Consider the following 22,402-nt stretch of genomic DNA (forward strand, 5'->3'; position numbering starts at 1 on the left):
CATTTATTCGGTACATAGATTATGAATCTACGATTTAATTACTTGGCAGGAAACAGACGTATAAATTCCAGTTGACAAGGGCATTTGGTCTTTTCTCTTGACCCTTTGAAACGTTTTGCGGGTGGGGGCGGCACTACCATTATGAAACAGAAAATTATTAGAGACCGTATCAAATTCCAAATGAACAATACATTTGTTCTTGGTAAGTGTATCAGAAGATTTCAAATACAGTTCCCTACTCCCCTTCCCAATTTCTATTGTGAGCACCCATGCTTTTATGAACGCCAATACAATTACTCAGTAACGCAATAAGCAATCACTCAACAATGCAATACATTTCTTTGCCAAGTATCTCAACACAAACTGAGGTCATGCCTGGTGAAGGCAATTTAAGGCTCTATGAAATGTCAGCCACGCCACTTTATACTTGGAACACATCTAAATACAAAATTACATGTTTTCCTATGCCTCAGTGCGCACAATTTGCCCAAGTGAATGAAATTGTGCCTCCACAAGGCTGTCCATTCTGAAGGTCTCAGGGTTTCCTTGGGGGCCCAAGGGCCCCATTCAGGGACCCCAAGATGAGGCACATTACAGGGCCTCGAATTTAGGGACCTAAGACCGCCTGTTCCTGATGCACCCGGCCAGGCCCTGTGAGGGCAGGTGGCTCGGCCGCCGCAGGCTGCGCTGGCGTCCGCGTAGGCTGAGTCCCAGTCATCGATCCGGGGTCAAGCCCCAGTTTTGATTCCACTTCTGCAAATGGGGACGGGAAGGGGGTTGGGTGTGTAGCAACCAGGCGGCCAGGCCCAGCCAGCACAGGCTCAGTGCCCTCCCGCGGCTTGGAGGCCGGCAGGGCCGGGGTGGTCCCCGCATCAGTCCCGCAGGAGCACACCCTTGCTGGGCCCCAGGGCTCCGTACCAATGCAGCCCCGGGACACTTCCGTGTTGAACGAGTCCCTTTAACCAGATGGCGGGGCCGGGCCGTCACTCAACGCCATTCCGCCACCAAGGCCGCGCTACGCTCTCCGCGAGCCGGCCCAGGAAAGTCCTGCGGCAGGGGTTGGTACCGCCTCCCGCGCAGGTATGTGACGTCATCGCGCCGACGAAGGCGCCCGCTAGGCCCCGCCTGCTCTATTTAAACTTCTGGACTCAACCTGGCCGCTAGACCGGAGCGTCCTCCAGCGCAGGCAAGGATTCCTCGTTTAGAGTCATGTTATCTTCGAGTACCTAGAGAGACATTTTAACCCACACCCTAGAGAGGCGTTGTAATCCTTACGTGTCTTTTAACGCTACTTGGCCCTTACCTGCGAGCAACTGACCTTTAATAATCCTCATTTTCTGTGCCCCGGAAGTGCCTTACCCTCTTCGCGTCTGTTTCCCGGAAGTGGTTCTTCTCCCTCTCCACCCTTTCGCCCGCCTGGGCGGTCCAGCTGCCCCTAGGGGCCAACTCCAGCGGCTATTTTGGGGCTGGACATCCCGCAGCTTTTCAAGGCGTGCCTTTGGTTTTTTTAAGAAGTGCTATCTAAAGGAAAAGCTGGACTATGACTCTGGGGAACTTTCATATCCTCAGTTGACCTTAGGCTGTGTGACCTTGAGCAGGTAGCATAACCTCTCTGAGTTTCCCGCGTGCCTTATGTGCAGATTGAGATGCTAAAATGAGAGAGCTAAATTGGAAAGCTTTTTCCACATAGGGGGCCGTGAGCAGGTGGCTGTTTTGTCCTCTGGCACCTTTGGCTCAGACTTAAGCAGCTTCAACGACCGCCAAGATGCCTGCCATGCCCACCAAGATTTAAAGGACTCTGATAATTCTTTCTCTCCCCAAACGGTGTTTTCCTTATCTAATCCTAATAACCAAGCCTGGAGGAATCCCTGACTTCGTGATTGAAGGCTCTCCAGGTCCCCTAGTTTAAGGGCAGAGATTTACTTTCTCTGAGGCTACAAAGGAGCGTCTGCGAGAATGTCTCTACCTTAGACAAAACAGGGAGGAGGGGTGGAGCTCTCCAAATTGCCTCTGGTTTGGGCTTTTTCTTTCTGTTTTGGTGTATCGTCTCTGGCCAACAACACCTGTGAGTCCTTGATGTGACGATTAGGGAAGATGTTTTTAATTCACATAACTATTCTTTAGAGAAAATTGATCCTGAAACACCTTATTGCCTTATCGTAGAATGACTGCATTACTCAGAATTCTTTACCTCTACCGGAATTTAGTGAAGGGAAGGCACAACGTACATTAGGAAAATACAGGACACACTCCAGTCCTTAAACCTTCCACAATCTTCTAGCTCTTTAAGGTCGAGTGTGATCCTCCCCAGAACTGCATCTTCCAGGAAGCTCATGAGAAAGGAAGGATCCCAGGTCCCATCTCTGATCTGAGTCGGCATCTGCGTTTTAACAGAATCCTGAAGCAGTGGTCTAACTCCTTTGGTGGTGTTATTGTTTGCATGTATACCTCCAAAATTCACATATTGAAATACTAACCCCCAAGGTGATAGTATTAGGAGGTGGGGCCTTTGGGAGGTAATTAAGTCATGAGGGTGAAGCCCTCATGAATGGGATTAGTACTCTTAGAAAAGGGACCCCAGAGAGGTCTCTTTCCACCATGTAAGGATAAAAGTACACGGAGAAGATGGCAATCTGCAAACTGGAAAAGGGCCCTCCTCAGAACCTGACCATCTTGGCACCTTGATCTCAGACTTCCATCTTCCAGAACTGTGAGAAATAAATTTCTTTTATAAACACTCAGTCAATGCTACTTTATTATAGCAGCCTGAATGGATTAAGACAGGTGGTCTGGTTTAAAGTGATGTGGTGGCATCAGAAGTTTAAGGAGAGACTGGATTTACAGAACCAGAATCTGGGATGCTGTTTACAGAGCAAGTTATTTCCTGCATTTGGACACTGTCAGCAGGTCGATTCAGGAGACAGGTGAAAACTTTATCACCGGGCAGCCTGGATGAACACCACAACTTTGATATCTTTCACTTAAAGGAAAGATAAGGGCATCCACTATTTCTACACCTGGCTGGCAGAGTGAGAGCTCACCAAAGGTAAGTCTCTTTGGAGCAGCAAAATGCTCCATAATTTAACTCTTAAAATTTTAAATTTATTTCCTCCTTACTCCCTTCAATCCCGTATCATATCTCCATGTAACTAGTTAAAAGTTCAGCTCTCAGCTGGGTGAGGTGGCATGTGCCTGTAGTCTCAGCCACTCAGGAAGCTGAGGTGGGAGGATTGCTTGAACCTAGGAGTTCATCTTCAGCCAGAGCAATGTAGTGAGACCTCATCTCTAAAGAAAAAACAAAAAACAAAAAAAGTTCAGCTTTCTAATGTAAGGAAGGATATATTCATTCACATTTGTCTTTGTCATCTCATCGCCAAGCTTAGCACTTGGCCCATAGTATATGATCAATAAATATTTGTTTTGGATGTTGGATTTATGTAAATTACCATTGTGATCTGAATATATAGTAATTTAATTGCTCTTTGAAACTTTTTTTTCTGTAATTAATTTGCTTATTTTTGCTCGTCTATTTTCCTTAGTAATTTAGTTTCAAACGGGTTTGTTTATTTAGCCATTTACGTAATTATTAATCATCTGTTGTATAGCAAGTGTTACGTTGGTACAGGGCATACACAGTTGAAAGAATTCAGCCCTTATCAGGGATGCAGAGTCCAGTGGATAGGGAGACATCTGATGTGTAATTACAGAGGCGTGATGATGTGGTATTGCAAAGCCATGCACAGATGCCCTGGTTGTGCACACCAGCTACGGAGTAGGAAACCTTTAGCTTCGGGAGGTGCCTACAGTAGCACCCAGCACAGAAACAAAATGCCCCAGCTTGATGGCTCCTTTTCCTCTCCAGTGCTTCCTCTCAGGAGATTTTATCCTGTATCCCATAAGGGAGGAGAAATGGACATGGGTAAGTGTTGCTTGTCCACACCTCTGCTCCAGGGAAAGGACCATATCTCAGAATCTTTGAGTCTAATCAGTTCTTTCAGTCTACTCTCCTTGTGGTGTTATTTCATTTTCCAGTCTTGGCATTTTTTTTTTTTTTTTGAGACAGAGTTTTGCTCTTGTTGCCCAGGCTAGAGTGCAATGGCGCCATCTCAGCTCACCGCAACCTCCGCCTCCCGGGTTTAAGCGATTCTCCTGCCTCAGCCTCCCGAGTAGCTGGGATTACAGGCATGTGCCACCACGCCCTGCTAATTTTGTATTTTTAATAGAGACGGGGTTTCTCCATGTTGGTCAGGCTGGTCTCGAACTTCTGACCTCAGGTGATCTGCCCGCCTCGGCCTCCCAAAGTGTTGGAATTACAGGCGTGAGCCACTGTGCCCGGCAGGCATCTTAACACCTCTTGTCGGTCAACGTTACAAGTGCTTTGGTTTTTTAAAAAAACAAATCTCTTGTCGTGTATTCAATATGCTTTGCTTATTCTGCCTCCTGCTTGATAACTGCTCTTCTTTGTCACTTCCTCCCCAAATCTTGCAAACTGATCCCGATGAGCTGTGGAGCTTAGATACATGCACTTTAATTTCAGGGGAGTGTGGCAACACTGCTGGAGCACTGCCCTTTCCATGGGGGCTTCAAAGTGATACTCATGATAACATGCCCTCTGTGCCTAGTTTAAGCAATATCTTGTCTTGAGACCACCATGGAGTTCAGAGAAAGGAACTTTTGCAATCTTGGAGTAGAACTGCCCATCCGAAACCATAGAAAGAGGGGCTACTTCCTTCCTATAGATCACCATCTCTAGGAACACAGTGAGGGAATAGATGAAGAAGGTCATGTGTGAATGCCACTATGTGGAGGGAGCCAGCCTGAAAACAGAGGCAGCTTAGAGGGATCCAGAGCTGAGAATGAGGTAGAGAGAGAGAGACAGACAGACAGACAGACAGACACAGACAGGCACCTAGGTGTGGTTGCCCCTCTTGAGCCTGTGGATGCAAATGTAATATTATACATTGAACTGAAAAATAGAGATGGTAAGGATTTCCTGAGTATTTCTGTTATCGTATTAGAATTCCTTAATTACAGTGCTTGTAACTGGTGTTCTAGATAAGGTAGAGCCGGTAAGCTTTCAAAGGTTTCATGCATAAACAATATATTTTATATTCCTGACTCGCTTTCCCCACTACACCTACCCTTTTCTATTTGTTAAGTTAGTTAGCATTGAGTTTCTAAAGCTTGCAAACCAAACCGTTCTTACTAATGTAAGTGCTTTTTACATTGCGCATGGCTGTTTTCCATTAGAAATATGCTACAAAAACTGACTACTTAAAGGAACACTGGGTAAATTCTTTCTAAATGTAATATACTTTCAAAAAATATGAATTTTATATATATACCATATTATATATATTACATTATTACATATTTCTGTTATATATATGTTTACATATTTATATAAAACAAAATAAGACTTTTCTTTGATAGCATCTGTGTTTTAGTCTGTTCAGACTGCTATAACAAAATACCCAAAACCGGGTGGCTTATGAACAATAGAAATGTGTTTCTCACAGATCTAGAAGATGAACATTCCAAGATAAGTCACTAGCAGATGGTGTGTGTTGAGGTCCTATTTCCTGATTCATAGATGGCACCTTTTTGCCCTGTCCTCACATGGTGGAAGGGGCAAGGGAGCTCTCTGGGGCCACTTTGATAAGGGCACTAAACCCATTCATGAGGCTCCACCTTCAGGACCTCCTCCCCTCCCAAAGACCGCACATCCTAACACCATCACTGTGGGGGATAGGATTCAACAAATACATTTTTGGGATGGGACACAAACATTCAGACCATAGCAATCTGAAAACATAATTCAAAATAGCCATCCTTTGGAAATATAATTTATTTATGACTCAGTATATCTGATAATATATGATAATCTTTAGATCTTTTAACATGGTGTTGAAACTAAATATCAGACTATTTCTATTAAAGAGAAACATTTTAAAAATGTGACATTTATTTTATAAACTTCATTTTAATTTAATATGTGAAGGGTTCCAAATGTAATATTATGCATTGAGCTGAAAAACAGAGATAGTAAAGTAGGCAAGCTTTCAGAGTTCTTATACTTAAACGATATATTTTATAGAAAACGGGTTCAGATCCTTGATAGCCAGGTGGTGAGTATGTGGTACCAAATGTACACATAATCCTAAATATTTTTTAAAATCCCAGTCAAAGAAAACTGGTATTCTCTGCTCTGTGTACTTCATCGCAAAGCAACTGTACAGTGGACATGGCTGCTAGGGGTCCACCAATTGTTCAGACATAAATAGTCCTTTCTAGCCTTCAAATATTTTTCTTATCATGGAGCCGATTACTGAGGAAATAATATCAATATCAAGTAAGTAATATTGTTGGGTGACAGGTGGACAGCTTCAGTGCCTTATGCTCCATCAAATTCACCAAAATACTGTATTTTAATTTGGAGTACAAGATCTAGACATTACCAGTGCTGTTATCAAAATGAACACCGTAACTACTAAAACATTTAATTATCTAATCACCTCATTTCAAAGAGACAAAATAAAGATTTTGGTCTATTCTTTGTTAGTAAAATGCCTTGCTTTCCTGAGCACCCACTCCTATTATTAGAATCTTATTATTAATATTTACTACACTTATTGTCTGCCCACTCCATGCCAGTCCTTTATATACATTGTCTCATATCACTTGTACAATGTTAAAAGATAGAAATATATGGGCCGGGCGTGGTGGCTTACAGCTATAATCCCAGCACTTTGGGAGGCCGAGGCAGGTAGATCACCTGAGGTTGGGAGTTCGAGACCAGCCTGACCAACATGGAGAAACCCCGTCTCTACTAAAAATACAAAATTAGTTGGGCGTGGTAGCGCGTGTCTATAATCCCAGCTACTCAGGAGGCTGAGGCAGGAGAATCACTTGAACCCGGGAGGTGGAGCTTGCGGTGAGCTGAGATGGCGCCATTGCACTCTAGCCTGGGCAACAAGAGTGAAACTCTGTCTCAAAAAAAAAAAAAAAAAACAGAAATATATAATAATATATAATAGATGACTCAAATAAAAAGAGAAATATATAATAGATGAAAGTTTAAGGTAGCCTTTCCATATCTGTGCTGAGATTATAAGGCCAGGTTGCCCTGCTCTAAAGCCTGTGCACAAATTAGTAAAATACTAAGCTTTTATGATGTGCCAAGCTTTGTGTTATTTGGCTACTCTGAGTCTCAGAATCTTTCTTCCTGTAATTCTTTCTCAGGTTAGAATTTGTGATTGGTTTCATATCTGGATGTTTATAATTTAAAAATGGTAAAAGTCTTAATAGATGTTATATATGAGTTTATAGCATTTAAAGAACTTGTTCGCGTCTTGAAAAGAAAAATAAAGCAAGCCTAGCAATTAATTAAAACTACCCTTCTCTATTGATCATTTGCAGCAGTAACTCTTTTTTATGTCTCCTTTTCCTGGAAGCTATGTCATAAAGTAGGTGATTGTAAAACAAACATAATTTCCATTAGGAGCAATGTTATAAAAGGGGATTATGTTATTGGCTAAGGTCTTAACTACAAATAAATTATGTATCTATTCATTTGTCTTCACGCCTTTGCTCTCATTAGATAAACTTTTTGTCCAATATATGAAAAGAGCTGGGCTAGGCATTACAAATAAATTTTAAAAGAATCTTAAGGTAAACTGTTCCTTTAGCTCACTGTATTTTCTTGTTCAAATGTCCTTTCATACTTCTGTGTCCCATTAAGCCCTACTTTTTCTTCAAGGCCTAAATCAAACTCTACTTGTGGAATACATTCAACCACCTCTGTTAATCTTAGCCACACCCTCATCTTTGTTACTATGTGTACATTATTGCTGTAGCATCTCTGACCTTTTATTTCAGTTAGGGATATGCTCGCCACCACTCTCTAGGTTCAGAGTTCATTTGGAGCAGGGACTATGACTTGTACTTTTTGGCTTTCTCCAGCACATAGAAGTTAGCTAAAGCATAGGAAATGAGTAAATGTTTATAATAAGAATCTTTAAACTGGGCTGGGTACACGCCTGTAATCCCAGCACTTCAGGAGGCCAAGGTGGGCAGATCACCTGAGGTCAGGAGTTCAAGACCAGCCTGGACAACATGGTGAAACCCCATCTCTACTTAAAATACACAAATTAGCCAGGTCTGGTGGTAGGTGCCTATCATCCCAGCTTCTCAGGAGGCTGAGGCAGGAGAATTGCTTGAATCCGGGAGGTGGAGGTTGCAGTGAGCCGAGATTGCGCCATTGCATTCCAGCCTGGGTGATGGAGTGAGACTCCATCTCAAAAAAAAAAAAAAAAAAAAAATCTTTAAACTACATGTTTCAGATATCTAGCTAGCTTTAGCAGAGGAAAATATGCTACTTTAAATAATCAAGGTGCTAGAGGTAGTGCTAACTGCAGATATGGCTCGGTCAGGCACTCAGTGAATGCTGTTAGGGCCATGTATTAGTCTGTTCTCACACTGCTATAAAGAAATACCTGAGACTGGGTAATTTATAAAGGAAAGAGGTTTAACTGACTCACACTTCCACATGGCTGGGAAGGCCTCAGAGAACTTCTAATCATGGCAGAAGGGGAAGCAGACATCTTCTTCACAAGGCAGCAGGAGAGAGAGGAGTGAGCGAAGGGGGAAGAGCCCCTTATAAAACCATCAGATCTCATGGGAACTCACTTATTATCGTGAGGACAGCATGGGGGAAACTGCCCCCTATGATCCAATCACCTCCCTTCCTTGACACATGGAGATTATGGGTCCCTCCCTCAACAGGTGGGAATTATAATTTGAGATAAGATTTGAGTGGGAACACAGAGCCAAACCATATCAGATCACCATTTTGCCACTTCCTCTATATGTTTCTCTTCTTAGTCTCATTCTGCAGGCAGCCCCTCATCTTCTTAGCTTATCAGTGGAAAAGTGCTTTTATCACTATCTCCCTCCCAAATTTAGAAAAAGATTCCTGTTGGTTCTGTTTTTATTACATGCATGTCCTTGCAATAATCAATGTGAACAGCAAATTATGATACATGATGGTTTGAGCCCATGATGAGATGAGCATGGGCTGTGCAGACAGTGGGTAAATATGAATGGATGCACTGCGGGTCCAGAGACAGTTGGGTGGGAAAGCCCTCCTAGGAAGAGGCCTGGCAGACTCAATCCACCTGTCCACTGCAGTATTTGATAAATATTTGTTGAATTCAATGAAAGCAAAAGGGCGGCTGTAATCTCTGTATAAAATGGGACAATTTGCTTTACTCCTTTTGATACATAAAACTATATAGTACATATCTAATTGGCACACATTCCGCCTAAGCGAATAGGAACACAAGTATGATGTTTAGTACAACCAAAAGTTAGTTGCAATATTAGATATGTTCAAATTAACAGTGTGTTACTTGGCATCAGTGTTGTCCAGCATTGAATTAACTATAGGGTTACTTGGCTTCTTTGAATTTCATGGGCTATTTTGGATGTGAGAGGGGGCATAAGACTTGCTCACCAAGTCAGTGTAAATGAATGATTTTTCACTGTGATAAATTTCCCCATAGGGAGCTGTGCTACTTAGAGTGGTGGCAAGAATCTTATCTTACACATGGGATGAAAGTAGATGCTAAGTAAATGTTTGTTTTTGACATCAGTGACAATAATGATAATGCTTTTCTGCCAAAAATTTTTAAGGAGTAGGAGGAGATCCCAAGGTTCTCTCCATCATCTCTTACTTTAGAACATAGCATCATAAGGCATTTTGAAAAAGAGAATAGTCACCATTTAGTGGACATCCTTTAAGGTATCATATTTTGTGTTAAAGCCATAAATAAATATACTATTGACATAAACTTTCAAAAATGTTCTTTACAACAACTTCACTAAATTTCTAACAAAAGTAACATAATACCCCAACCTATACAGATGCATTCCCCATTTGGAAAACTACAAAAAGAATAGGTAAAAGTGGGCCAGGCATGTGAGTTGGAAGTCACAGTGAAATTCCAAAAGGGCCCTGGCTGACATGTAGAAGGTGGCTGTAGTTTCAGGCTCTCTTATTATGACTTGAATTCTCAGAAAACCAGCAGAGAAGTAGGGGGCTAATAGAACCCAATAATATGTGGGACAATATTTGTTGAATTGTATGGATTGATTCTATTATTCCTGGTGAAAAAATTCCCAAGCTCTAATGAACTGTCATTGATTCCTGTAAGCAGCTAAATGTAAAATAATGAAAACACAGAATTCACCCTCTGTGAACGAAAGAGATGGCAAGTTCAAAGTCATTCCAACAGCATTAATTACATGGGAAAGCCTATCCCCAGGTATACCTGCCTAAGATGTGTTTTGCATTTTTAAAATTCCCAGGTGGAAGCTGGAGAGCCCTATCTATATTGTCCTTTTAAGCACCAAGCTTTCTTTCCTATATTTTATTCTCTCACCTCATCTTGAGGGAGCATGATCCCACTCTTAAGATGCACTAGAAATGTCATATTAAGACAGTAAACCTTTCATAATATAAACATTTGAGTAGCCATATAGCACCTTCACATCTCACTTAAAAAGCAACTGTAGAAGCCAGGCATGGTGACTCACGCCTGTAATCCCAGCACTTTGGAAGGCTGAGGCGGGCAGATCACTTGAGGTCAGGAGTTCAAGACCAGCCTGGCCATCATGGCGAAACCCCATCTCTACTAAAAACACAAAAAAATTAGCTGGGCGTAGTGGCAGGTGCCTGTAATCCCAGCTACTCAGGAGGCTGAGGCAGGAGAATCGCTTGAACCTGGGAGGCAGAGGTTGCAGTAAGCTGAGATCGCTCCACTGCACTTCAGCCCAAGTGATGGAGTGAGACTCCATCTCAAAAACAAAACAAAACAAGACAAAATCAAAAAGCAACTGTAGAAAGCAGAACACACCATAAATATACCATAAGGTTAAGGTTCTTCAAAAGGCTCATTATCATTCTGGAATTTAGTTTTCCTGTATCTTCATGTATATCTACACCAAAATTTAGAAAATTCACTGAGCACCAAAGATGAGGACATTTTTCTAGTTTTATCAGAGAAAATAATTCAGATTCTGTAGGGTATAGAAACATTTACAAGATAATATTTTAAAGAGAACTGAGCTTCATTTCACCATTCTGTGAACCTAGGCAAAAGTTACATTCACTTCTGTTGGAAAAGAAACTGAAATGACATTTTTGCTTAATTGTTAAAAGAGAAGTACCTTCTGTTAATGCGGACAAACACATTGGTTCAATGACCCCAATTTTACTTACACTTAACATCCACCCAAACTAAATTTTCATTAACTGTTGATGTGATTGTTGAAATTGCAGGCCATTTTCCATCACTTAGATGTTTTCAAATATCTTTTCTTTTTTTACTTTCTATACTCATTTTGTTTTTTACTTTGTATACTAGAATGGCAAATTACTATGATACTGTATGCAACACAAAACCTCTCTGTATGTACTTTTAATTTACCTTATATTTTATGTTGTTAGAGGAAAGAGTGTTAAGTTTATGTTTTTTTAATTAACACACACTTGCATGGTGTTTACTGTGTGTGTCTTCTAACCACCTTACAGATATCAATGCATTTAATCATCTTAATAACGCTGTGAGGTATGTACTGCGCTGGCACTAACATTTTAAGAGTGGCTAAATGGTCTACAAAGAGACTAAGTAACTTTCTCAAGATCACACATTTGATCAGTAGCAGAGCCAGGATTCATTTCTTTACCATTTTGCCATGGTGCCTCCCCAATGCCAAAGTCAAAAGTAGCAAAGTAGACCCATGTTCACAGGTTGTTTATGGCAGGCATTTTCGTAGAGACATTGATAAGTGAATTGAGAAATGAGGCTGTCCAGCTGTACCCCAGCAGGATCTTGAGAGGCTCATCCTCCTCTACCAAGCTATTAAATGTCGAGTTATCAAGACTTAGACTTGGGGTCCATTTCCTTGTGCCAACTAGGGGACACCATTCCTGCCCAAAGCTTTGGTGTGGTCTCTCAGCCTCCGGCCTCCACATCAGGTAGTGTGGTAACACGAGGACTCCTAATTTGGACTGCCTACCTGTGCATAGGGGCCAACTCAGGATATAACTCAGGGAAAGCCCCTGCCTAGGTGAAGGGGGAAAGCCCATCCTGCCCACTAGCACAGTCGAGGTGTGGGAGAAGGAAAAAGGGCTACCGAGGCAGAAAATTAATGTGCTACTTCCCCCACCTTCATGGTTCTATGTTGGGAGTGCTCTTGTAGACGCACACAGGAAGGTAAAGGGCATGCCTGTTTTCCCACACATGGCCTTGGGGAGCTATAATACTCTAGTACAGTGGTTCTCAATTCTGCTGCTTTTGATGAGTTTAGGATGGAGCCCAGGCATCAATATTATTTTGGTGGTGGGGAGTCGGCGGGGTAGGGGTGGCGGGGGGAGTTGAGGGGACCTCTCAGGTGAATCTAATGTGTAGCTGGGGTTGAGAACCACTATTCTTAGAGAAGTTCTCTGGTTGGTCAACATGACACCAGGACTATAATGCAGGTTTGGGAGAAGGATATGCCTGGATCCTGAGCTAACATAAGCGTCAGCCTGGTGATCAAGGGATCTGGAAGATTCTGCCTACCCCAATGAGGAGTGACAGAATAGCTGAGCAAATCCAGGCCGGCCTGAGATGGGGATGCAGTCCTGGGGGTATAGAGAACAGAGGCAAGGACCAGGACCATGGAGTCCAGCATCAGGAACATAGCTGGTGCCACACGTGCCAGGTGCAACCTCAGGGAACGCCAGTCCAGGAACCACCCAGACCAGCAGAGACAGCACAGAGCCTTCTGGTACTTGATCACACCTCCCATTTCTTCCCCGTTCACAAAGTCCTAGGAACAGTGCTGGATACACAATTTGCAGGGTCCAGTGCAAAAGGGAAATGAAGAACCTGTGCACAAAGAGCAGGAAAAAAAAAATTGCCATTACTAGCTTTTTCCTTATTTCTGTGGCCTATCTCCCTCAATTTGTTAAAGAGTTTTAAATTTGCTATTTGATGTCTAAGTAAAGAAAAAATGGTAAATAATTAGCATGAAACTTCATCATTCATGTTTATATTGCATGATGCCAGTTTTACAGACAAATATCAGAGCATTTAAGTAGGATGTGGGACTATCACAATCACACAACCCATGTTTTGTAGCCTACACATGCACATGCGTTTCATTCTGGCCTGAATAGTGAGGATGCCGTGCAAGAGTAGCCCAACTCTTCTGATTCCACTTCTTGATATGCACACATTGAACCAACACTCTCCACCTGCTGAGTGAGGAAGGCCTGAAAGGAAAAGAATTGTGGGCTCCTCTATCTTTTGCTTTCCTCTGTGTCATCATTTTGAGCTTAAGTGGCTGGCCAATCCAGGAGATGACATGGATAGGTAGGAAAGGTTATAACAGGCTTCCTTGGTCACATGTGTTTCTTTAGTATACATTTGCTTTCTCTCTGCTTTCGAAGAAAATTCTGGTTCAAATGGGAAAATGTGGCATCTGAGGCTGGCAGCATTTCTCCTAACTCAGCCATGAGTATAACACTGTCCCTTGGTACTTGCTTTGAGACTGTGATCTCCCACGCATTGTGGGTCTATTGTTCTTCTGTGCTCATGAAGCATCATAGACCCTATGTGTACGAAGCAGGCAGCTGGGAACAGCAGACGTGCACATTGCCAGTATCTCCTCTGCTCATGTTTATACATCAGTGTCCCATCAGATGTCCCTTAGAAAACACAAGTTCAAACATAAAATTACTACAGATTTCAAGATGGCCACAGCAGAGCATTAATCCAAGTATGGGGTCCTTCTGAGCATGGGGTCCTTTCTGAGCATGGGGCCCTGTTTGACTGTGCCAGCTACCTCCCCATGAATCTGGTCCTGCTCAGGGATGCTTTCCAGTATTCCCAGTTAACATCTCACAGAAAATGGGGAGAGAAGAAACTTTTTGCTCTGCATGAAATGAGACTGTTGTGATTATTAGATACTAGTGATAACATGAAAGAACAAAATAATTTACTCTTGGCTGTTTGTTTAAAATTTCTATTCCTGAGATTCATTGCCTTAGTTAAGACTGCTTTGGTTGCTGAGAGAAAAAGCAGAAATTATATGTGGATAAAGAAGATTACTGTTAGAATATACTTGCTAAAAAAGTAGATTTCAAGTGTTCTCGTCACAAAAAAATGATAAATATAGAGATAAGGCATGTTAATTAAGTTGATGTGGCATTCCACAATGTAAACATATTTCAAAGCATATTATACGTGATAGTTATATAAAATTTTTCTTTGTCAATTAAAAAAATAATACAGAACCCAGGGAAGGGGGGATGTCTAGGGGATTGGCACTAGGAAGTGGAAAGCCACCGGAAACCATGTGTCCTCTTTGGATTTCCAGGGTCTTGTGGATTCTCACTTAGCATCTCTTGCTTCCATTCCAGGAGATCCACTTTCTCTGATTCTCAGTGTGCACACCATAACCAAACGTGGCAGCCTTCAGCTCTGGAGTTTATACAACCTCAGCTCAGGCAAACAGCACAGACAGTGTAGAGTCTCATTTTTCCTAGTCCATATTTCTGGCAGAGAGAATGTGATTGGACAGATGTCCCTGGTCCTAGCAGTGATGAATGGTGAGGGCTGGGGGGCCAGGACTTGGAAGCTCATGGGATGGACAACATTCCTGAAGTTTTCTACTGCACCCTTCGTACTTGGTTAAATGTCCTGGTCATAAGTTAACTTTATAATAGATAAATCATACATCTAGATCTAGATATCTGCTTTTTCTCTTACTATTGTTTACATTTCTTTTTTTGGTAACTGGATCAATACAGAAGATGAGCACAACATTTTATAAATAAAAGATAATAAAAATAATCTGGGAGCAGTTGCAGAGCCCACGCTGTGTGCCAGTATCTTTGCTCATCGCGTTGTATTCATTGTGTCAGTGTCCACAATAAGCACCCTGGAGCTGGGTAAAGTCACTCACCCCAAAATGCCAAGGCACTTTCCCAGGGGCCTGGACAGGAAGGAAGCAGAGCCAGGAAAGAAATCCAGATTCAAATCAGTGCTGAGCCTGTACTCTTTTTACTAGAAAATAACAAACACGAGCTGGCTTGATTATGTACTCTTTTGAGAAACTATCATCATTATCATTATAGCCCTCACTTTCTCCCTGGTTATTCATTGACTGCTGTCAGAGTTCAGACAACTTCTGATGCTTGATTTTTTTCAAGGAACTCAATTAAAAAGATAGTAGCAATTAAGCACAGCAGATTGTCAGAAATGTTTGCCCTTAGTTAATGAGTGACTTTCAGAATAGTGCTAGTGTGTCCTCCAAGATTACATGCATAATCCCACAAAAATTGATGCCAGGTGGGCCTGACCTGCGTGTGAAAGTAGATTTCTTGTGTTTTCAAGATGTTTTTCTATAGCCGTTTCCAGTCTGCCCTCTGCTGGCTCATGAGAATTGGATATTGCAAATCACAGACCCAGGCAAGTAAATGCCAGAGAGAAGCCACAATTCCCTGGGTTGAAAGAGCCAAGGAGGTCTCAATCTCATAAGGCCTTAGTCCATTCAGAAACCAACTGACTCTCCCACTACCTGTATTTTACCCTTTCCCAAACCAACTCCAGGAAGGCATCAGGAAGTTTTCAGATCAATGTTATCCTCTGCTTGCATTTACCTGTGCTGCATGGCAAAAGGCTGCTTTATGTTACTTATCTGAGTCATGACTGAAATGTCAGTGCAAAATTAAATTGATAAAGATTGAAAAGAGAATAACTTAGATTAGTGTTCATCATCTTTGTGTCTCTTGTTTCATGCATCCTTTACCTTGACTCTGCGGAGCTCTTACTGATTTTGAACATAGATGAATTTGATTTTGTCCAGAATTAAAAAATCAAACAGTCATAGAGTATAGCTACTTGTTCAGACTGTTTTTAATTTTTATTTTTATTTAAAATGTTCACTATATTGCCAAATAGTAATTACTTTATTAAGCCCACTTATGGATTCATTTTATTTTTTTGGTGAAGCAAACTAAAGGTTAAAAGTGAACATAAGACAATTTCTACATTAAGTAGCATAATTATTCATTAGATCTTAAAATTAAAGCTACTGCTAATGTAACCTTTAGGATATGAAGCTAGGCTTTAGAATTATGTTTGTGTGTTGATACACACACACTCAATGGGGACTATTCATTTCACAAACCAAATATATGTTATTTCTATTCTTGTTGGAATTTAGTTTTAAAAAAAATTTTTTTTCTGATTTCCAAAGAAATGCATGTTCACCATAGAAAATTTAAAGAATACAAACAGGAATTAAAAGACTACCTATATAAAATTATATGTATGATATATTCACACACATATAGGTAAAAGCATTTTGTAATTTACTTTGTAGAAATTTCTATGTCAAATTTTAACACAAAACATTATATCAAAACTACCAATATGTTATAACCTAATAAAAGAGCTGCCAGTAATTTAAGTTCTTACATAGTAAGTTACCTAATATTATGAAATATACACGACTCCTTTTTACATATTTTGTTTCCAGACATCAATAACCTAGACTCATGAATATCATTTTTGCACATAATAGTTATGGATAGGAGACTAAAGATTGTATTAGATGTTGGTGTTTGATTATTTACTAGGCTTTGTCACCACTGAAATGACTTCTCACCCACTGTTTTTAACAACCTTGCTGGTGGAATTTGTGTCCTAATAAATTTATAAATTATGACATGCCAGGGGCCTCAATACTAGAAACATTAAATGCATGAATGGCGAGGATGTCTATAAAGTAATAGGATATATTTTTTAACACATCTGTCAGTACTCATACTTTCAAGCAAGTGTTTTCGTCAACATAGGTTAAGAGCTTACCAACTGTTTCCATAATTGATGAATGTGTTTCCATGAATCTATTTATTCATCAATATCAACTGAGAGTACTCTGTGTCTTGGCATTTTCATAGGCACTGTGGACATAATAATGAATGACACAGGTAGTCCGCAGTCTAAGGATGGGGGCAGATGATAGCCTTTGCAATACAGGAACTAAGCTGTAAGTGGAAGGTGGTACAAGACAATGTGGGATCTTACCCACTCCAGTCCCAGGGGTCGGGTCACATGTGAAAACAACATGATTCCTATGCTCAGTCTTGGCCATTGGAATTCCAGGGCATGGCTAAACAGTTGAGAAGGTACCTTAATCAGGATTGTATCATAGTCCCAGAAAAAGGAGAGAGCTGTTTTGGAATTGCCTTCAAAGGTTTAGGGTATTTTGTTGAATAGCCTATAGGGAAGTAAATGATAACATTTGATGTAATTTGTATTCTTTTTCTCTAAGCTAAAGTCTAACGTAATACCGGCTGCTAGGTCAGTGTAGTATTAGTCACACTGACCTTTTAATAGCTCCAGGGTTTTAACAGAGGGACAGGCATGCAGTAGATGCTCAATGGATGCTTATCAATAACTGACTACAAGACAGCTAACAAAATGATTGAAGCACAACTGGAAAATTCTAGTCTAAAACCAGATAGATGTGAGTGCTGAGACAGATTTGCTTGTATAGCTTGCTAGTTGATTATATTGCTTCCAGGAACTCTCCTGCAGTAAGAGACTCATTTGAACAAGTTAGGGCAGGTTGCCAATCCGAGTATTGGCAGCCTGAATATGCCTTGACTATTCAAGTTGAGTACTTCGACGAGGGCTATAAGCATTTGGATTTTAACGTTCTGATACACTTTAAATCAAACAATTAAATATACCTGTATGTAAATATATGTATGTAAATATATGTATGTAAACATGTGTGTAAATATATGTATGTAAATATATGTAAATATATGTATGCAAATATATGTATGTAAATATATGTGTATGTAAATATATATATATATATATATATATATATATATATATTGTTCACTTTAAAATTACTCAGTTTGCAAGTGTGTTGATACCTTTACATATGTACACACATTCACAGACTGCAGGTTTAATTGATGTGACTTAAGTCAGCATTTGCTTTTCTTGATTCATGCAGATTACCTGGTTCAAATCCAGACTCTACCGTCTATGGCTATGTTACCTTGGGAAGGTTACTTAACCTCTCTGTGCCTCAGTTTCTTTCTTTTCAAAATTTTTTTTATTTTCAATTTTTGTGGGTACATAGTAGGCATATATATTTATGGGGTACCTGAGATGTTTTCATACAGGCATGTAATGTGTAATAAGTACACCAGGAAAAATGGGGTATCCATCCCCTCAAGCACTTATCCATTGAGTTGCAAACAATCCAATTACACTCTTTATTTTAAAACGTATGGTTATTATTGACTGTAGTCACCCTCTTGTGCCATCAAATATTAGGTCTTATTCATTATCTTGTTTTGTACCCATTAACTACCCCCACCTATCTCCCACCCCACCCCCGCTAATCTTCCCAGCCTCTGGTAACCGTCCTTCTACTCTCTATCTCCATGAATTCAATTGCTTTGATTTTTAGATCCACAAATAAGTGAGAACATGTGATGTTTCTGTGCCTGACTTATTTCACTTAATATAATTATCTCCATTTCCATCCATGTTGTTGCATATAACTGGATCTCATTCTTTTTTATGGCTGAACAGTACTCCATTGTGTATATGTACCACATTTTCTTTATCCATTCATCGGTTGGTGTTGGTGGACACTTAGGTACTTCCAAATGTTAGGTATTGTAAATAGTGCTGCAACATACATGGGAGTGCAGATATGTTTTTGATATACTGATTTCCTTTCTTTTGGGTATATACCCAGTAGTGGGATTGCTGGATCATGCAGTAGCCCAAATTTTAGTTTTTTTAGAAACCTCCGAACTGTTCCTCATAGTGGTGGTGCTAATTTACATTCCTGCCGATAGTGTACAAGCGTTCCCTTTTCTCCACATCCTCACCAGCATTTCTTATTGCCTGTTTTTTGGATATAAGCTATTTTAATTGGTGTGAGATGATATCTAATTGTAGTTTTAATTTGCATTTCTCTGATGATCAGTGATGTTGAGCACCTTTTCATATGCCTGTTTGCCATTTGTATATCTTCTTTTGGGAAATGTCTATTTGAATTTTTTGCCCACCTTTTGATTGGATTATTAGATTTTTTTTCTAGAGAGTTATTTGAGCTCCTTATCTATTCTGGTTATTAATCTATTGTCAGATGGATAGTTTGCAGGTATTTTCTCCCATTCTGTGGGTTGTCTCTTCACTTTGTTGATTGTATCCTTTGCTATGCAGAAGGTTTTAAACTTGATGTGGTCCCATTTGTTCATTTTTGCTTTTTTGCCTGTGCTTGTGGGGTATTGCTCAAAAAATTTTTGCCCAGACCATTGTCCTGGAGACAATTCCTCAACGTTTTCTTGTAGTAGTTTCACGATTTGAGGTCTTAGGTTTAAGTGTTTAATCCATTTTGATTTGATTTTTATATATGGTGAGAGATAGGGATCTAGTTTTATTCTTCTAAATATGGATATCCAGTTTTCCCAGCAACATTTATTGAAGAGACTGTCTTTTCCCCAGTGTATATGCTTGGCACCTTTGTCAAAAATGAGTTCACTCTAGGTGTATGGATTTGTTTCTGGGTTCTCTATTCTGTTCCACTGGTCTGTGTGTCTGCTTTTATGCCAGTACCATGCTGTTTGGGTTACCATAGCTGTGTAGTATAATTTGAAGTCAAGTAATGTGATTCCTCCAGCTTTGTTCTTTTTGCTTACTATAGCTTTGGCTATGCTGGGTCTTTTGTGGTTCCATATAAATTGTAGGATTGTTTTTTCTATTTTTGAGAAGAATGTCATTGGCATATTGGTAGGAATTGCACTGAATCTGTAGGTTGCTTTGGGTAGTATGGACTTCTTAACAATATTGATTCTTCCAACCCGTATACATGGAATATTTTTCCATTTTTTCGTGTCCTGTTCAGTTTCTTTCATCAGTGTTTTATAGTTTTTATTACAGAGATCTTTCACTTCTTTCATTAATTCCTAGGTATTATATTTTATGTGTGGCTATTTTAAATTGGATTACTTCTTAAATTTCTTTTTCGCCTTGTTCACTGTTGGCATATAGAAATGCTACTGAGTTTTGTAGGTTGATTTTGTATCCTGCAACTTTACTGAATTTGTTTATCAGTTCTAATAGTTCTTTTGTACAGTCTTTAGGTTTTTCTAAATATAAGTTTATATCATCTGCAAATAAGGATAATTTGACATCTTCCTTTCCAATTTGGATGCCCATTGTATCTTTCTCTTGTCTGATTGCTCTAGCTAGGACTTCCAGTATTATGTTGAATTAACGGTTGTGACAGTGGTCTGATTTTCTTTTCTGCTCTAATAGAACAGCACTGAGTTAAGTGCTACTGCTGTGGGGCGTGGGGTGAGTGGCATTGGTGATTCAGGACTGTTTTTTTCTCTCTTTAGTGCCTCTTTCAGTGATATGAAGTTAAAACCAGGCCCTATGAGTGCTCATCTGATATTTAGTTCTTATGAAGGTGTTTTTTTCTGTGTAAATATTTGTTAACTTGGTGTCCTTGCTGGGGGACAATCTGTAGAGCTTTCTGTTCTGCCCTCTTGTTCTACCTTGTGGAGTCCTGATAAGTAAGCAACAACAAGGAAGGGGCTCCAGGTCGGGGAGGTTCCCAGATTGGGGAGGGCCCCTAGTGAGAGTGAGCAATGAATTTGTATTGAGAGACAGCCAATCACAAACAACCCACTGACACAACTACCTCCCTGCGCACATAACCCCAACAGCATGACCTCATTCCACTGGTAGCCCCCTCCAGCACAACCCTGTAAGACTTCCCTCCACCCCCTGCCTCTTGGCAGACAGCCCCTTTTCTGCTGTGCTGCCTGTTGCACCCTTGTAATGTATTTTCATACTTTCTCTAATAAATCTGCCTTTCTTTACCTACAGCTGTCTTGGTAAATTCCTTTACCTCACGCAACACTGGCCCCAGCCTATTGCACCCGCGACGTGCCTCCCTCAGTTTCTTAATCTATGGACTGTGGATAATGATTATGCCTAAATTATAGAATGTTTATGAGGCTAAATGACCTAATATACGTAAGGAGCACGGGATACTATTTGTCAAGTGTTCAGAACAGTTGAACTATTGTATTGTTATCCTAAATCATGACAAGATTAACATTAAAAACATTTAACTTAGTAGATCAGAGTAATCAATAAAATGTGTGTTAAGAGGATAATGATTATACTTAAACTTTAAAATGTATCTAAGGCTAAATGAGTTAATATATGCAAAGAGTATAGACTACTGTTTGTCACACAGCAACTATTTTGTTAACCTTAAAAATATTTATATTAAAAACATTTAGATTACCAGATCAAACTAATATTTTGAAATACTTTACTATTTTTATTTAGCATGAAGCTTTTTGATTATCTTTAATGTTTTAAATATGTTGAAAAATAAAAATTACTAAAACAAGAATGAAATTCAATGGTTAACATGAGCAGTAATTTAGAACACCTTTTCTCTCCCCAGATGAAAAATGTATCTTCAAGTAATCCAATTCCTTGGAACTAAATACATTTTGAAATTCTAATTCACTTTCCTATAATTTATAGATCTAACATTATTAAAATATTCATATCTTTGAGCTAATGTGGCTTAACAAATTTAATTTGCAAAACAAAGATGACATGAAAAGAGCATGATCCATAATCACTTTTTTCCTAAGCCATATGTGGTAGGCACGCCATTAAAAAGACAAGCTAGTCAACCTTATAACTCCATAGAACTGTCAAAATAAATAAGCTATTAGAAAACCAGGAAAATAACAGAATTTTGGAACAAAGTGTTTCCCTAGAATTTTTTTTCATTATTTCTCAAATAAGCAGAGTACAACCTTGGATAGGGTTGTTTAAGATGTGTGGAGATGTTTGAGGCTGTTATTTTGCACCTGGGGGGCTTTTGACCACGGTGCAGTCTGAAACCTGTAAAGGGAAGTGGGAGTGGAGGAAGATTGGATAGGAAGATCCTCAGGTGTCATTGTGTCTCCGAGGAAGGTTCAGCCAGCCCAGGGGTCTCCAGTGCGAAAATCATTCATAGGGTAGCAACACAGAAGACAGAAATGGGCATACCCTACTGTTTGGTCACCATACTCCACCTTGGCTAGGAGCTCCCACAAGAAGAGTGTGACTTCCACATAAACACAGCAGCTGATCTTGAGGCATTGCAGCTGGAGGCTACCAGCCAGCTGTAGTCCCTGAAGCTAGTAAATGACCTCTTTTCCAAAGGGAGCTTCTGGTGGCACATCTCCAAGGCTGCCAGTCACCTATGTTTCTAAATCCATTCGAGTATC

The 22,402-nt window shown here is 40.2% G+C and overlaps 1 protein-coding gene and 1 long non-coding RNA gene across 7 annotated transcripts in view, besides 4 other annotated features; one reads left to right on the forward strand and one right to left on the reverse strand.

Annotated features, from left to right (window-relative positions):
- PNPLA4 (patatin like domain 4, phospholipase and triacylglycerol lipase) overlaps positions 1-1,357 on the reverse strand; it is a 29,478-nt gene extending 28,121 nt beyond the window's left edge. For 2 of the 3 annotated variants that reach the window (NM_001172672.2, NM_001142389.2), the window contains exon 1: positions 1,319-1,357. The gene's annotated coding sequence lies outside the window, so the exon portion shown is untranslated. Of the gene's footprint in view, positions 1-918; positions 1,047-1,318 lie in introns of those variants that run through there. The other variant, NM_004650.3, reaches the window with a different exon arrangement.
- Positions 464-693: an enhancer, noted in NCBI's record as "active region_29393". NCBI's record gives its function as "activates an Ori minimal core promoter by ATAC-STARR-seq in GM12878 lymphoblastoid cells {active_cell/tissue: GM12878}" and the evidence as "EXISTENCE:reporter gene assay evidence [ECO:0000049][PMID:35858748]".
- Positions 924-1,163: an enhancer, noted in NCBI's record as "active region_29394". NCBI's record gives its function as "activates an Ori minimal core promoter by ATAC-STARR-seq in GM12878 lymphoblastoid cells {active_cell/tissue: GM12878}" and the evidence as "EXISTENCE:reporter gene assay evidence [ECO:0000049][PMID:35858748]".
- Positions 1,133-22,402, forward strand: part of LOC107985675 (uncharacterized) — a 528,885-nt gene continuing 507,615 nt past the window's right edge. For all 4 annotated transcript variants that reach the window (XR_001755783.2, XR_001755782.2, XR_001755784.2 and 1 more), the window contains exon 1: positions 1,133-3,046. This is a non-coding gene — a long non-coding RNA (uncharacterized LOC107985675). The remainder of the gene's footprint in view (positions 3,047-22,402) is intronic.
- Positions 1,184-1,233: an enhancer, noted in NCBI's record as "active region_29395". NCBI's record gives its function as "activates an Ori minimal core promoter by ATAC-STARR-seq in GM12878 lymphoblastoid cells {active_cell/tissue: GM12878}" and the evidence as "EXISTENCE:reporter gene assay evidence [ECO:0000049][PMID:35858748]".
- Positions 1,574-1,653: an enhancer, noted in NCBI's record as "active region_29396". NCBI's record gives its function as "activates an Ori minimal core promoter by ATAC-STARR-seq in GM12878 lymphoblastoid cells {active_cell/tissue: GM12878}" and the evidence as "EXISTENCE:reporter gene assay evidence [ECO:0000049][PMID:35858748]".

This window comes from Homo sapiens, chromosome X, assembly GCF_000001405.40.
Source record: "Homo sapiens chromosome X, GRCh38.p14 Primary Assembly".
Classification (NCBI taxonomy): Eukaryota; Metazoa; Chordata; class Mammalia; order Primates; family Hominidae; genus Homo; species Homo sapiens.